Here is a 17,960-nt window from a genome sequence, read left to right on the forward strand (position 1 = left end):
GCCAAATGTTGATGAGATTGTGTAAACTAGAACTCTCATATATTACTGATGGGAGTGCAAAATGATACAACCGCTTCTGAAAAATGTTTCACAGTTCCTTACAAAGTTAAACCGAGGCAGAATGTTGAGCTCATTTCTTTGCATTTCCCTTCTCTCTGGGATCGCCTCAGCCTGTAAGTTGGACAAAAGGTCCGTTCACTTTATGTTCCTCTAAATAGCCACTTTCTGCTAGGTTTCTCAGTAGTTTTGCCCTGTGCCTCCTAAAAAACCAGTGGGTGTCTCAAAAGGAAAAGTGGTACAAAATGTCTGACTTGCCTCAATTTTATTTCCCTTCTCCCTTAAGATCGTGGCCTTTCATGCCCTGGCTGTCTTGGTAGTCCTCCGAAGCCTTTAAACAGATTTTAAAAATAACTTTTGTCCAGCTGTTCTAGTTGTATTCAATGAGAAATTGGTCTGCTAGAAGCTAGTCCCTCATAGCCAGAACTGAGAATTCTTCTCTAAGCCCATACAAGCCAACCCCCATCAGGGCTTGACACCCTTGTCCATCCTGAGATTTGGAGTGACTTCATCTTGTATTGTTGCCCCAGAATGTTGTCTTGTTTCACAGAGCTTTGCAAAGGGCCTGTGTTAATCTGAGGTTGTTTCTTGGACATTTTCTACCTCCATTCCAGCTAAAATCTACATTCATTACATCCTGGTTTTCATTCAGGCAGCTTTAGAAGGGATTGTGCACTCTCTTCCCACAGGAAGCTCATTAACCTAGTTAATTCTGTGATTTGTATTAGAGTAAAAAGGTGCCTTCACTAGGAAATAACCTAATGATTACTGCCTTCACGTCTGCTAAATTGGATTTGTGTCTTCTAGCTTCTTGAATTTTAGTTAAACTACATGAAGAATATGTGTGCAATCCTATGTGTAAGCATATGGAAGTCTCAGTATTCAGGGATGTGATTCTTTTAGTCCTCTCAAAAGGGGGAAAGTTAATAATAAATGCTTTTAAAGCTCTATAGTAAATTTTGGCTAAACAGTGCAAATCGAATGTTGGTAAACCTAATTGGAAGACTCATGGAGGGGGAAGAAACCTCTTTTGTGCTGACTTCTGCCAAGGATTGGAAAAGAGATTCATTTTAAAGGCTCCCCAAGAGAGGATTGAAGACATAAAGTTCTTAATGTTTTTTTTTTTTCTCAACAGCTTACAAGAGCAGTGATTCCCAGGCTTTCTCAGCAATGTACCCCATTTCCTGACATTTACAGCTGAAGGTGAAGTTTCCCTTTTGCAAGGAGAAAATTTTGGTGGAGAATTATCCAACAAGAAAAAGACCTGTGGCTATTAAGATAGGTAAGTCTTTTATGTAGAGTATGGAGAGGGAAGTAGCTTATGGAAAAAATGCTAAGGAATGTTTCATTTGTTGTAAGTGGGATTCTAGGACTAGTATGTATTTCACTGAATATCAGGACAAGTGATCCTTGTCATCAGTGATCTAATCCTAGATTGCATTCCCAACTCTTCTACTTACCAGCTGAGTCAACTTGGACAAGTGACTTAAATTCTCTGAACCCCAGTTATTTCATCTATAAAAGAAAGTTTCATGGGAAAAGGTTTTGTAAATGGGAGAGGACATGTAATACAAAAATGTGGTTATCACCCGGGTGCAGTGGCTTGCACCTGTAATCCCAGCACTTTAGGAAGCTGAGGCGGGCGGATCACTTGAGGTCAGGAGTTCGAGACCAGGCTGGCTGACATGCTGAAACCCATCTCTACTAAAAATACAAAAGTCAGTCAGGTGTGGTGGTGGGCACCTGTAGTCCCAGCTACTCAGGAGGCTGAGGCAGGAGAATCGCTTGAACTCAGGAGGCAGAAGTTGCAGTGAGCCAAGATTGTGCCACTGCACTCCAGCCCGGGCAATAGAGCGAGACTCTGTCTCAAAAAAAAAAAATGGTTATCATTGTTCATTGTTTTCTTGCTATTAGAAAATTCAATGGAAACAGTGGCCTTGTGTCTCATGGTGCTTTTGAGCCATAGAGCTTGGTCCTGTGAGTTTGGGGAACTTTGTCTTCTGAATGCTGGGAGTGGGAGGCATTCCTCATCTGCCTCCCCTGTAAAAATAACATCATATCAGCCGGGCACGTTGGCTCACGTCTGTAATCCCAGCACTTTGGGAGGCCGAGGTGGGCGAATCACAAGGTCAGGAGTTCAAGACCAGCCTGGCCAACACGGTGAAACCCCATCTCTACTAAAAACACAAAAACAGCTGGGCGTGATGGCGGGCGCCTGTAATCCCAGCTACTTGGGAGGCTGAGGCAGGAGAATCGCCTGAACCCGGGAGGGAGAGGTTGCAGTGAGCCGAGATCTCACTGCTGCACTCCAGCCTGGGTGACAGTGCAAGACTCCATCTCAAAATAAATAAATAAATAAATAAATAAATAAATAAATAAATAAATAGATAGATAGCATCATATCATTATTTTGGCTGCAGATATCCGCCACTTACTTTTTGTAAGTTGTGGGAAGAGATGGAAGTTAAATATGAGATCAAAGGAAATAAAATAACAACTACCTATCAACAGTGACCTATTACGATAACTACCTGTTAATAAAAACTACTCATTAGTTGTCTTAGTTGCTATGATAAGCATTGTATTGACTATTTGGTTACTTTATTTCATTAAATTCACATACCAAGCTTTGTAAGATGCATGTTACCTCTACCGTGAGAGTTCTCCTGGATTGTCAGCACCCCTTAGGGAGTCACTTAAAGAAGATAAAAGTCAGTCTGATTTCTTGTAATTTGAGAGGTTTTATTAGATGGTGGGAGTTTGAAGCTTTTAATTTTTTTCTAATTTTTTACAGTGAGCACATACGGCTTCTGTAATAATTAAAGTGGTCATTTGAAAATGAATGATGGATTTTTAGAAAATTTTTTCTTAAGCACCTACAGTGAACTAGGTACTATTTTTGATGTTTGTTCACATCAGTGCATGGAGCTTAATGTTGTAGCATGGATGGAGATGATAAATAATGCATATAATAAACACGTTACTAGGATATTAGAATCCACTGAGAACATGGAGAAAAGAAAAAGTAAAGTAGAGCAAGAGAAGTTGGTTAGTGGGGTGGGAGTGCAAATTGCAGAAGGGGCCTCATCGAGGAAAGGCAGGAAGTCAGGAGTTGGCCCTGGGCCTGTTCCAGGTAGAGGAAGCAGTGGGTGTAAAGGCCCTAAGGAGGGAATGCAGCTGGGGTGTTCCAGCCACAGCCAGGAGCCAGTCAGTGCTGGAGCAGAGTGAGTGGGAGGGTTGATCCACAGGAAATGATGACACTTCTTGGTTTAGATGCATAAGATAGGTTGCCTTATTTTCTTCTGCAGTTAAAGAACACGTACTCCCTCCACCCAGCACACACACAAAATACATACATTAGGCCTCTAGCACCATATTAATTTGCTAGGACTGCCATAAGAAATTAGGCAAACAGAGCTTAAAACAACAGAAGTGTATTGTTTCACAGGTCTGTAGGCTAGAAGTCCAAAATCAAGTTAGGGCCATGCTCCCTGTGAGACACATCAAAGGGAAACCTTCCTTGGCTCTTCCTGGCTTCTGGTGGTTGTTGGCAATCCTCGGCGTTCCTGGGCTGCAGCTGCATCCCTCCAGTCTCCGCCTCTGTCATCACCTGTCATTCTCACTGTGTGTCTGTGTCTGCACATGGCTGTCTTCCCTCTTCTTATAAGGACACCAGATATATTGGACTAAGGACCCACCCTACTTCAATGTGACCTCATCTTAAACTAATTACATCTGCAACAGCCCTACTTCCAAATAAGGTCAAATTCAGTGGTACTGCAGGGTCAGGACTTCAGCTTACTTTTTGGGGGATACAATTCAAACCATCACAGCTACCTTAAATAATAAGTAATAGATATTACTATTCCCATCTTACAAGTAGAGAAACAGGCTCAGAAAACTCAAATAACTTGCCCAAGATCAGAGTCAGTAATCAAAACAGCCAGGTGGGCTTGACACGATGGCTCACACCTGTAATCCCAGCACTTTGGGAGGCTGAGGCAGGCGAATCACTTGAGCCGAAGAGTTCGAAACCAGCCTGGGCAACGTGGCAAAATCCTGTCTCTATAAAAATCACAGAAAATTAGCTGTGTGCCTGTGATCCCAGCTACCCAAAAGGCTGAGGTGGGAGGATCACTGGAGCAGGGGAGGTTGAAGCTGCAGTGAGCTGAGATTTTACCACTGCACCCCAGCCTGGGTGACAGAGTGAGACCCAGTTTGTCTCAAAAACGAGCAAACAAAAAAAGCAGAACAACAACTCCAAAACACACAACAACAAAGAAACAAAAAAAAAAAACCAGCCAGGTCTAGGCCAGGCATGTCCTAGCTATCTGCAGTCCCAGCCACTCGGGAGGCTGAGGTGGGAGGATCGTCAGTGTGATTTCACCATGCTGCTTATGTGCTACTAGGGCCGTGATATCAGGCTGGAGCTGACAAGACACTGCCCTGACACAGGGTAGGAGTTGCACACATACGACGTTGCAGTCCCTGTCCAAATTGCTTAACTCCAAGAGAGCTCACAACTGATGTTCTACCTCAGCTTTCCTATCAGAAGCCATTCCTCCTTCTAGCATGACAGACTTAGGAAATAGATGCTTTTTTCCTCTTTTAGGAAGTTTTCCAGGGAAGTAATACTGTAATTTTAAAAACATATGTAGAACATTTTGTGATGGAATTAAATGATTTTTTCTCATACAACGTAGAAAAAAAAGATATGTGTGTGTGTGTGTGTGTGTGTGTGTGTGTGTGTGTGTATGGCTCCCTGATTCCGTTGGTTTCTTGCAATAGAATTAGGGGATTTTGGCTGGGTGCGGTGGCTCATGCCTGTAATCTCAGTACTTTGGGAGGCCAAGGAGGGTGGATCACCTGAGGTTGGGAGTTTGAGACCAGCCTGATGAACATGGAGAAACCCCGTCTCTACTAAAAATACAAAAATTAGCCGGGCATGGTGGCGCATGCCTGTAATCCCAGCTACTCCGGAGGCTGAGGCAGGAGAATTGCTTGAACCTGGGAAGCGGAGGTTGCGGTGAGCCAAGATTGCGCCGTTGCACTCCAGCCTGGGCTACAAGAGTGAAACTCCGTCTCAAAAAATAAAATAAAATAAAATAAAATAAAATAAAATAAAATAAAATAAAATAAAAAGAATTAGGGGATTTTGAAAGCCTTGAATATATTTTGGCTTTTCATTATGTTTAAAGATTCCCTCTAAACGTGCAGCCGTCTAGCCATTTGTGTTCCTTGGCCTGCAGCTGCATCACTGCAGTCAACTCTAGAACCTTATTTTAGGCATGGTCTTGAGGACTGCACGCGAGAAAAGGAAGGCTACACCAAAACAGAGCTGAGCACTTTTCCATGCCTGCACAGGCACGTGGTGTAGAGGGACATCCTGAGTTAGGCTGAAGGTAGAAGAAGCGACCACTGGCGGTCATGCTAGAGAAATGTCTAAATCCTGGTCAAGGAAAGCAAGTGCTCAAAGCTAAGTGTTGTGTTAAGTCTGGGAGGTGAGACAAAGCCATAGTAGGAAGACCATACCTGACCTCAAACCAGGAAGATTCACGAACTAGAGCATGAGGCAAGGTGCGTGGTTCGGAGGTTGGTTGGTGAGGGCTTCAGGGGCCTGTTTGTCTTTGGCTCTGACTGTGCCATGTGGAAGTGAAAGGGGAAGGTGTCATGTGAGCCTGGGCAGCCCGCATCTGCTTTTCCTCAGTTTGCATTCAACCATGTTTTTGTTTACATAGCCTTGTAGTTTCCTTTCAAGGTCCTTTTTTTAACCTCTGTTCTAAATGTGTTTTTATTCCCTCTAAGCTTTTGTGCTTCTCTTTGCGCTTAACAGCAAATTGCTTTGGATCTTCATCTTAGTATAAAGAAGGGGAAAAAAAGCTGCCTCTCATCTAAAGATCCTCCTGCTCTCTGTTAACATTTCTTTCTTTTTTTTCCCCCAAGACAGAGTCTTGATCTGTCGCCCAGGCTGGAGTGCAGTGGCGCGATCTCAGCTCACGGCAACCCCCGCCTCCCAGGTTCAAGTGATTCTCATGCCTCAGCCTCCCGAGTAGCTGGGACTACAGGCATGTGCCACCATGCCCAGTTAATTTTTGTACTTTTAGTAGAGATGGGGTTTCACCATGTTGGCCAGATTGGTCTCAAATTCCTGGCCTCAGGTGATCCACCCACCTCAGCCTCCCAAAGTGCTGGGTTTATAGGCGTGAGCCACCACGCCTGGCCAACATTTATTTTCTTTGTCCTGGAAGTGTGTGGAAATAGCAAGGTCATCATATTCTAGTGAATTAAAACGACACTTAGTCTTTGTCTGATGTTACTGCCACCAAATGCGACTCCCTGGGACATACCTCCATCACACAGGTCTGGCTAGGGTTCTAGAGTCTAGTTAACACAGGTCTCCTCGATTGCCTTTTGGTTATCTAGCTGGCACTTCGTAGCTGCAGATAAATAGTTGCTGCTCTTGCTACTCCTGCAGCTGTTGATTGTGAAGTTAGACTACATGGGCCAGGCAAATCTGGGGTCATTGGTTTGAATTACTTCTCTGCTACCAACATTCAGGTAAGTACTCGGCTTTTCACAGGAAAGCCCCAAAGATGACTGATACTAGAATTTAAAGACTTATTTAATCCCTCTTATCACTATGGAATGGAAACAAGATCCTCCTTTTTCCCCAGTAGTGGTAGATTGTTGAGCAATGAGAAATAATTAGTCCTTTAATTGTAACACTTTTAAAAATAATCAGGTGAAATTCACATAGCATGAAATTAAACATTTTAAAGTGAACAATTCAGTGGCATTTAGTTTATTTATTTTATTTTTATTTTTTGAGACGGAGTCTTGCTCAGTCGCCCAGGCTGGAGTGCAGTGGCGCGATCTCAGCTCACTGGAAGCTCCGCCTCCTGGGTTCACGCCATTCTCCTGCCTCAGCCTCCCGAGTAGCTGCGACCACAGGCGCCCACCACCACGCCCGGCTAATTTTTTTATATTTTTAGTAGAGACAGGGTTTCACTGTGTTAGCCAGGATGGTCTCGATCTCCTGACCTCGTGATCTGCCCACCTCGGCCTCCCAAAGTGCTGGGATTACAGGCGTGAGCCAGCGCACCCGGCCTTCAGTGGCATTTAGTATATTCAGACTGTTTTGCACCCGTCACCTCTGTCTCTTTCCAAAACATTTTCATCACCCCAAAATAAAACACTGTACCCATTAAGCAGTTACTCCCCATTTCCCCCTCCCCTCAGCCACTGGCAGCCACCAATCTTTCTGTCTCTATGAATTTACCGTTTCTAGATACTTTATATAAATCAAATTGTACAATCTGTGATGTTTTGTGACTGGTAAAATGCTTAATTGTTATTACCAATCATTTATTTTTTCAATCTTCTCCTGTCATTTTGCTGGGAGAGCTGGGGTGCTATGGGAATATTATCTTTCTAATTAGGACCTCCAAAAAGAAAACCCCTTCAGAACACCTGCTTCGCTTTAGTTGCTGGTGGACTTCTCTTCATGAGACAGATAGCAGTTTAGAATTTAGTTACTTAATCTGCAAGGATATGGAGAATTTGACTTCACCTTATTTCACTTCTACCATGGGGCTCAATCCCCTTGGGCACCCTGTCTCCCCACCCCTGACTTATGTCATTGTTCTAGTGGTCTGAACTTCAGTTTATCCCATCATCCAGATGAACCTGTAATTGATATTTTGGCATTGGGATAGCTGGAGATTATATTGCTAGCCTAGGCAACAAAGCAGTCTCTCCCAAGGGAGTTAAATGATACTAGCCGTTGAAGATGAAAATTTGAGGAATACTTTACACTGTCATCTCTTGGGGAGGCTGATCACACCCATCCCTCCTTTCTTCTGTCCTTGGTGAAATAGAGGCTGCTCCGGGAGGGCTCTGGGATGCAGACAGCAGCGACTTGAAATGAGATTCCTCTCTCCATCTGCCAGACGTAACCCAAGATGAGTTGCACAGATGAAGCTGGCAGAGAAATGGGAAACTGGATGGCAAATGAGGTTCTGAGGGAAGCAAAATTCTAGCTAAATCCTTTTGTGATGGTAGAAGAGCTCTTGGTCTAATAATACAGAACTTAAGAATTAGGTTGGTGTAGTGCTAGTGGTTCAGCAAATGCAACCTGTCTGCAAGTCTCTTTCCTGTAGACTTCCTGGGAGTGTAGTGTTTATGAACAGGTGCCATGGGACCACAGTTAAACACAGGACAAACGATGACTTGTCTCCATCAAATGTGATTGTTGTATACTGTACTATATGCTAGGGAGGACTGAATCATCAACTCTATGCTCTAAGATATCTCTTCCAGGAGCTTGAAAACACCAACTTTAGAGTAACTAGTTTGACAAGAAATAGCAGAGAGATGGGGATGGGGTAGGGGCATTTTGTTGATTCCTTTCCTCTTCCCTCCCTCCATTAACATGCATGGAACTTTTTACATGCCAGACATTGTGCTGAGGGGTGAGGATATGAAGTAAGCATACTGTTCAGGAGTTCATGGTCACTTCCTCCTTCCTGTCACCTCTCTGCTGCCTCAGGTTCTCCTGCTCTTAACAGAGAACTGTAAGTAGTTGTATCTTGTCTGTCCTCCATGATAGGATGTAGCTTCTAAAAGCCAGGGGGCCAGGCACGGTGGCCCATGCTTGTAATCCCAGCACTTTGGTAGGCCATGGCGGGAAGACTGCATGAGCCCAGGAGTTCAACACTAGCCTGAGCAACATAGTGAGACCTCATCTCTAACCACAAATTTTTAGAAAATTAGCCAGGCATGATGGCGCACCCCTGTGGTCCCAGCTACTCACAGGGAGACTGAAGTGGGAGGATGGCTTGAGCTTAGAGGGTTGAGCCTGCAGTGAGCCATGATCATGCCACTGCACTCCAGCCTGGGCAACAGAGCAAGACCCTATCCAAGAAAAAAAAAAAACAACCAGAGGCTTTGAATTTGCCATTGAACCTTTGAATCTAGCATTGCCCTAGCAAATACTTAGGGCATTGCAATGGGAATTGAATTTTATCAAATTGAATTCAGATATGTAAACAGATAACCGGGTGAAGTGTGATTAGTGATATTTGAGAGAGTTTTGCACAGAGTGCTGGGGAACACAAAGGGCAGCATAAACAACTGCCACAGGGAGCCTGCGGGCCTCCCAGAGGTGTCATTCGAGCTGTCTTGAAAGATGAGAAGGTGCTTGCCAGACACTCGAGGGGGGCACACAATCTCCGCAGGTCACATTTATGTCAACGTGTTTCTTAAGAGAGGCCCTTGGATCCTCTAAATCCTGTCGTTTCTTTCATTTATGTAACTTTAGAAAAATGAATGCTTGATTTACCAGCAGCTTTGGATCAAGCCTATAGACTGTACAGGCTTCTCTTCCAGCAAACGATCATCTTAGTACTTCTAGGGGATAAAGCCAAAAAATACCCCAAACCAACCAAACAAACAAACAACAACAAAAAAGCTATTGAATTTATTACCCCTACAATGTCCATTTTAATCTTCTTTTTCCTTATTAAAATAAATAAATTTTTTTTTCTTCTAAATTGGCCCAAGTGAAGCCAAGATTTCGTTCCCATGATCCTTTCATCATTTCAACAGACGCACACTGAATGCCTCCCACGGATAAGGCACTGCTCCGGACTCTAGGCTGACAAAGAACAAACAGCAAGACAGTTTCTGCTCCCACGGAGACCAAAAATTGACACCAAACAGAAAGCTAAAGTCAGCATGGAAAATGTCCTCCACTACTGTTTACTGTTAAAGCATAATCTATTGTTTACATACATGCACACAGATTAAGTGTTAAGCTTCTTGAAATAAATGACTAATTCTGAACTGCAGTTCAGAGGTCCAAGGAACGATGAAGAAGGCTATCCTATGACTGGAAGATTTACCAGGAAAAGGAAAAAGCATCCTTAGTCTAAACTTCACTGGGCACATATTTTAAGAAGCCTCAGAAAGTTCATTCCATGCAGAAAAACATCCCCCAAAAGGAGCATTTAAAACAGAACTTAAATTTTATATTAAGGACTTGGATATGTATATGTATTTTCAAAAATCGATATCATTTTATTTTCATTTCTTTATGGTGAATTTTGATGTTTTACTGTCATAGAACTGGAACCCCAATTTCTAATAATTCTTATTATTGGTCTAATAATATAGAACTTAAGAATTAGGAGACAAGGACATAGTTTACCAAGGCTTGACATGCTTGGCCCATCTAGGAACTACTTAGTGCTTGAGTTGGGGAGGGCCTATGATAGATGAGATTGCTCACCCTGATGCTGCCAATTCCAAATGCCCATCTTCTCTTCTCCATCTCTTCTGGTCAATAGCTTAGCTGTCCTTAAAGGATAAATTCAACACCAACCCAGTTTATTCTCTGATACCTCCCGTTCCTGGAAATGAGTGTTTTATTTTTTCCCTCCAGACTCCTACAGCAGCTCATTTGTATCTGTCTAGCCTCTCTCTCTCTCTCTCTCTCTCTCTATCTCTCTATTTCTCTCTCTCTCTCTCTCTCTCTCTCTCACACACACACACACACACACACACAGAGAGAGAGAGAGAGAGAGAGAGGGGTTAACATTTTCCACCTGGCTTATAATTTTTGGTAAATATGTCATATCCCCTACTAAGTGACCACCTCCTTGGAGTCAGTGCTATTTTCCTTCATTTCTTTATATCTCATTTCCTCCACCCTCATCTGAATACCTATCTCTAAACCATAATGGGCTGGGTGCGGTAGCTCACGCCTGTAATCCCAGTACTTCGGAAGGCCGAAGCGGGTGGATCACTTAAGAATGTGCATCACCTAAGGAGTTCGAGACCAGCCTTGCCAACAAGGTGAAACCCCATGTCTACTAAAAATACAAAAATTAGCCAGATGTGTGGCATGCATCTGTAGTCCCAGTTACTGAGGAGGATGAGGCATGAGAATTGCTTGAACCTGGGAGGGAGAGGTTGCAGTGAGCTAAGATAATGCCATTACACTGTAGCCTAGACAATGGGAGTAAGCCACTGTCTCAAAAAAAAAAAAACCAAAAACCATATTGGACACTCAGCTGTGATTCAGTGACTTCAGTGATTGGGATTTCAGGCTAGATAAATATATGCAAGAATGTCTGCCTCTCTTCCCACTGCCATTATCCATAGCATAACTCCTTAAACATTATTTCCTAAAGTAGTTCCATGGAACAGTAATTCTAAGGAATATTTAAAAAGTATTTCTTTTTTTAAAAAAATTTTATTATTATTATACTTTAAGTTTTAGGGTACATGTGCACAACCTGCAGGTTTGTTACATATGTATACATGTACCATGTTGGTGTGCTGCACCCATTAACTCGTCATTTAGCATTAGGTATATCTCCTAATGCTATCCCTCCCCCCTCCCCCCACCCCACAACAGTCCCTGGTGTGTGATGTTCCCCTTCCTGCGTCCATGTGTTCTCATTGTTCAATTCCCACCTATGAGTGAGAACATGCGGTGTTTGGTTTTTTGTCCTTGCAATAGTTTACTGAGAATGATGGTTTCCAGCTTCATCCATGCCCCTACAAAGGACATGAACTCATCATTTTTTATGGCTGTATAGTATTCCATGGTGAATATGTGCCACATTTTCTTTTTTTCTTTTTTTAAATTTTATTTATTATTATTACTATTATTATTATTATTATACTTTAAGTTTTAGGGTACATGTGCACAATGTGCAGGTTAGTTACATATGTATACATGTGCCATGCTGGTGCGCTGCACCCACTAACTCATCATCTAGCATTAGGTATATCTCCCAATGCTAACCCTCCCCCCTCCCCCCACCCCACAACAGTCCCCAGAGTGTGATGTTCCCCTTCCTGTGTCCATGTGTTCTCATTGTTCAATTCCCACCTATGAGTGAGAATATGTGGTGTTTGGTTTTTTGTTCTTGCGATAGTTTGCTGAGAATGATGATTTCCAATTTCATCCATGTCCCTACAAAGGACATGAACTCATCATTTTTTATGGCTGCATAGTATTCCATGGTGTATATGTGCCACATTTTCTTAATCCAGTCTATCATTGTTGGACATTTGGGTTGGTTCCAAGTCTTTGCTGTTGTGAATAGTGCCTCAATAAACATACATGTGCATGTGTCTTTATAGCTGCATGATTTATAGTCCTTTGGGTATATACCCAGTAATGGGATGGCTGGGTCAAATGCTATTTCTAGTTGTAGATCCCTGAGGAATCGCCACACTGACTTCCACAACGGTTGAACTAGTTTACAGTCCCATCAACAGTGTAAAAGTGTTCCTATTTCTCCAGATGTGGAGAAATAAAAAGTATTTCTTGAAAATGTTTATGGTTAAATACTTTGGGCGATTCTGAATTAAACAAAGTTAAATAAGATTTTTTCTTGCAGGATGTATTAGTCTGTTCTCACATCTAGGTCATGCTGATATAAGAGGTGGGCTTCTATGGCCTTGGACAGCTCTGTCCCTGTAGCTTTGAAGGGTACAGCCTCCTCCCTAGCTGCTTTCACGGGCTGGCATTGAGCGTCTGCAGCTTTTCCAGGCACATGGTGCAAGCTGTCTGCGGATCTACTATTCTGGGATCTGGAGGACGTGGCCCTCTTCTCACAGCTCCACTAGGCAGTGCCCCAGTGGGGATTCTGTGTGGGGGGAATCCAACCCCACATTTCCCTTCCACATTGCTCTAGCAGAGGTGCTCCGTGAGGGCTATAAAAAATAAATAAATGCACTATCCTGAGAACAGCATGGGGGAAACCACCCCCATGATGCAATCACCTCCTACCAGATCTCTCACTAGATACATGAGGATTATGCGGATTACAATTCAAGATGAGATTTTCATGGGGACACAGCCAAACCATATCATGGGACTTCTCAAATTGTAGGCATTGAGGAGATAAAGTGAATAATGTATCCCAAAATTATTTGACCAGAGAAACCTTGATAATTTTCCTAGAATGTGTATTCATTTTCTATTGGCACTGTAACAAAGTATCATAAACATAGTGGCTTAAAACAACACAAATTGTAGTTCTAGAGATCAGAAGTCTCAAATGAGTCAGCAGGCCTGGCTCCTTCTGGAGGTTCTAGGGGAGAATCCCTTTCCTTGTGTTTTTCAGCTTCTAGAGGCCACCTGCCTTCCTTGGCTTGTGGCCCCTTCCTCCCTCTTCAAAACCAGCTGCATAGCATCTTCCAGTCTTCCTCTCTCCCTCCCTCCCTTCCTCCCTCCCTCCCTCTGTTCCTCCCTGTCTCCCTCCCTCTCTCTCTGTGACCTCTGCTTCTACCATCACATCCTCTCCTGTGATTTTGACATTTCTGCCTCCCTCTTATAAAGACCCTTGTGAATATACTGGGCCCATCCAGATAATCCAGGCTCATCTTCCAACTGCAACATGCTTAACTTCAGCACATCTGATCCCCTGTTCACAGTTCTGGGAATTGGAAAGTGGACGTCTTTGGAGAGCCATTATTCTACCTGCCCCAGGACATGTGTTCTGCGGCAGCACTGCCTGCAGTCAGGGCGTTTGCCTCCATTCTGAGACCTGTGTGGAACGCCCAACCACCATGTACGACGTTATTTCTAAGAGAAAGTGAATTCTGAGTTGTGAAACAAAACAAATTAACATCTGTGATACACAGCCATGGATAAACTGTGAACTCTTTTTATAGTAACCTTGGCAGTGATAATCAAATAAAGACCAGTAAAGGCTTTCTTGTACATGAATCTGCTTAAACTCCCTTCTCTCAGTCCCAGATGTAGAGCTCTTGTTTTCACAATACATCAGACAAATTGTGTGCTAGAACTGCCCAGAAGAATTATTTTCTGTCAAAATCAAGACCTTTTAAACTGTATATAAATATGAACCTACTGTATATTGAAGTAAGAACAAAACTCATCATTTTGTGATAAGTTTACTCTTTATTCAAGAAGGTATACTGGCCAGGCGCATTGGCTCACACCTGTAATCCCAGCACTTTGGGAGGCCGAGGCGGGAGGATCACCTGCGGTCAGGAGTTCGAGACCAGCCTGGCCAACATGGCAAAACCCCATCTCTCCTAAAAATACAAAAATTAGCCGAGCATGGTGGTGCACACCTGTAATCCCAGCTGCTAGAGAGGCTGAGGTGGAAGAGTTGTTTGGACCCGGGAGGCAGAAGTTGCAGTGAGCCAAGATCGTGCCAATGCACTCCAGCCTGAGTGGCGACAGAGCAAGACTCCATCTCAAAAAAAAAAAAAGAAAGTATACTGTGCTGGGAATTTTAACTTTTAACAATGTCATATCCAGTGCCCAACAGATTTCAGCAACATATATCTAATCCTGTAGTTACTAAATAGGGCGTGATACAAATGTGAAATCTAATGTGAAGACTTGTGGGAAGAGGTTCATGATGAGGAACAGTAGAGAAATGAAATGAGTTGAAAAGAACTCAGACCAAGAGATAGAAAAAGGATTAAAGTCTAATATATACCATATCATGAAAATTTTGTTTTAAAAATAAGCTTTGGGAAAGAAAAAAAACCATAAACATTTTCCCATGCAGAAAAAACAAAGTACTCAAAGGAAGACCCCGGATTTTAAGTAGAATGAGAAGACCTTTTCCTGATCTGAAAAAAAGTGAACTTTTCCCTGCAAAACACAGACATGAAAGATCTTTGAAATTCCACATAGATTCATGATACCTGAAATTAAATGGAATGGGATAAGATTGATTAATATTAGCTTCTCTTCACCCGAAACAGACAACACTTAACACAAGACTATGAGTTCCTCCATGGCAGGGACAGTGTCTGATTCATCTTTGAGTGCCCAGCTGATTAGTCCATTCTCATGCTGCTAATAAAGACATACCCAAGACTGGGTAATTTATAAAGAAAAAGCGGTATAATGGACTCACAGTTCCACTTGGCTGGGGAGGCCTCACAATCATGGTGGAAGACAAAGGAAGAGCAAAGGGATGTTTTACATGGCGGCAGGCAAGAGAGCTTGTGCAGAGTCACTCCCCTGTATAAAACCATCAGATCTCGTGAGACTTATTCATTATCATGAGAACAGCAGGGGAAAAACCTGCCCCCATGACTCACTTACCTCCCACTGGGTCCATGGCATGACACGTGGGGATTATTACAATTCAAGGTGAAATTTGTAGGGGGGCACACAGAGCCAAACCATGTCACCAGCCTCGGGATACACCCACCACATAAAATGATCAAAGTTTGTTATCATAGCACTGCTTCATTTGGGGGAGACTATTTAAAAGAAATTGGCAAAAGAAAGGGTGTGTGAGAAAAGAAAAATAAAAAGTATGGTATACTGTAGACTGTTGAGATTTTCTGAGGACATGTCTAGAGATTTTCTTCCTTCCCAAATTGTTCCTTTCACTCCAGCATATAATTTTCCCTAAAAGAAAAATGCAGTATGAGTAGAGAATAACAAAAGTATATTGAGATTCAGATGTTGATATTAAGTTATGAGAATCATTCTTCAACAAAATTGCAAATTGCTACTTGTTGTATACCCAGTGTCATACACATAATCAATCTCAGAGACTCACTTACAAATAGTCAAATTGGTGTATACTCAGTCAAAGAATGCTTATAGGCTATTATGTTTTATTTAGAAGATCAGGAAAAAAGTTTCTGTTTTTTTTTTATATTCCAATACTGGAGCATCCTCTATCCTGCTTTTGTTGAGGTTGTAAAATCACTGAGGACAGCCTATGACTTCTTTTTCTATCCTCTGTTTGTGTAGTTTGATATTATAGGCTTTGTGGGCACTCAGTGAGTAGTTGATGACTTGGATTAAATGGAAAAATATAGCAATAAGAGCACTATAAAAGTCAGCATAGGTAGGCATAAAATGCTTAGGAATACATTCTTTTACATAGTGAACTATCTTGATATATTTTCCTATCTCTTTACTAGTATTCCATTATTAGATGGGCCGATTGTAAAGGACAAAGTCACAGGCAAGACTTTGCAGTATACAGTGGCAAAAGATTCTATAAAAGAAAATGTGTAACTGATTTCAGACCAATCCAACAGCGGGCATTTGTAAGCCAGGCCCAGGAAATTTCAATCAGAAGCAATAATGTACCATTCACAGCAATATGACAGTGGTAAAGAAAAAAGTGGTGAAGCTTCAAAATACCCAATTCTCTAGGGTGATGGGATTTAAGTGAGCAACATGGAGCAATTAAGCCAAGGAAGCAGCTAAGAGATACATAAAAGGAATCAAAATTGAATAAGGAACAACTAACGTTATTGCTTATGTTTCAGAGGCAAACAAAATGAAAAGTAAAACCATGATCTGAATGTTTGCATCCCCCCCTGAAATTCATATGTTAAGATGCTAACCCTTAAGGTGATAGTATTAGGATATACAGCCTTTGGGGGGTGATTAGGCCATGAGGGCAGAGCCCTTATAGATGGGATTAATGTTTTTATGAAGGAGACCCAAGAGAGTTCCCTCATACCTTCTGCCACATGAAGACACAGCAAGAAGGCACCATCTAAGAACCAGAAATTGGACCCTCACCAGACACCAAATCTGGAGCCTTGGAATTTCCAGCCTCCAGAACAATGAGAAATACATAAATTTCTGTTGTTTATAAGCTACCCAATTTATGGCATTTTGTTATAGCAGCCCAAATGGACAGGGACACCTGGGACATAGAGATAGTTCTCTGGAAGTGGCTTGACCCTCTCCAGTAGTTTGAACCTCTGGGATAGATCTGGCCAAGTCCAAATGGAGACATGACATTTATGTGGAGACTGTGTTGTCACAGCAATAAGTTCAGTAATATTAAGAGAGGGATGGAAGTAATACATTTAGGACTTTTAAAAGTGAGATACTTTTTGTAATGTTAATAGAAAGTATTGAGTTTGATCTTTTCTACTTGAGGTTCTTCATGGATAATGTGAGTCTTTAACAGATTAAGACTTTGGGATGGAAGAGGTCAATAAAAGGATATTTTGAGTTTAAGGAAATACTTTATACTGTGATGTGCAAGTGGGAGGACACATGGCTCGCTTAATACAAACAACCAGCATTCCAGAATACGGGAGTTTCCAGGCTTAGAGGGGAGGGCAGTCAGAACATGGCTATAAATATGCGGGGAAAAGATGCGTCAATTTTCATGGCAAAATATTGTAAGAAATAGCTGTAAAAGCTACACAAATTCCAAAAGTCAGAAGTTTAAAGTTTATGGAAATGCAGATAAATGAATGCTTCAAAAATGGGGTTAATCCTAGAAAAAGTGTAAGAAAGACTAAAAAAAAATGACATGAAGGTATTAAGACAATTTAGGTGATTACTCATATCAAGTAGGAAGGTGGGTCTCAGAGAAACCTATGGGCATATGCTAGAAAAGCACATGGAATTTAATTTTTCTAAGGAAACAAAACTTAAAAATGGAAATGTTTCATAACTGACAATACAGAAGGGCAAAAATTGACTTTATATAAATGTAAATGTTTCAGAAATTATTTTTGCCTTTGGTCGTGAATCCAGAATATATTTTTCTAATAAACAACCTCTGTAAGAATGAGTATCTGTGAAAACTTCTGCGTTATTGGGAAAATAACACAGGAACAATAGAAAACATTATCATTATCTTGTTTTATCAACCTGTTCTCTTATCCTAAGAATATGATGAGAAATTATACTGTAATAACACAATACAAATCTTTGGGTATTAGAGATCATTTTGAAATAGAATAGATGCAATGTGAGAGGGTTGTAAATTTGGCAAGATATATTTTTCTTACGCATAGTTTAGGGATTAAGTAGTTTCATTCAGTATAAACATTGCCTCTGTTAATACTAAAAAGGAAAGCGTCCCTGAAATAACCCTACCTTTCCTTTTCAGGTAGGTAAATTT

The 17,960-nt window shown here is 41.8% G+C and overlaps 1 protein-coding gene across 6 annotated transcripts in view; it reads left to right on the forward strand.

Moving 5' to 3' along the window:
* Nucleotides 1–17,960, forward strand: part of CRACD (capping protein inhibiting regulator of actin dynamics) — a 281,512-nt gene that overhangs the window by 128,994 nt on the left and 134,558 nt on the right. For 5 of the 6 annotated variants that reach the window (XM_047415994.1, NM_001393381.1, NM_001393384.1 and 2 more), the window contains exon 2: nucleotides 1,193–1,339. The exons of the other annotated variant lie outside the window; for it this stretch is intronic. The gene's annotated coding sequence lies outside the window, so the exon portion shown is untranslated. The remainder of the gene's footprint in view (nucleotides 1–1,192; nucleotides 1,340–17,960) is intronic. 6 annotated transcript variants of the gene reach the window in all.

This window comes from Homo sapiens, chromosome 4, assembly GCF_000001405.40.
Source record: "Homo sapiens chromosome 4, GRCh38.p14 Primary Assembly".
NCBI classification, from domain to species: domain Eukaryota; kingdom Metazoa; phylum Chordata; class Mammalia; order Primates; family Hominidae; genus Homo; species Homo sapiens.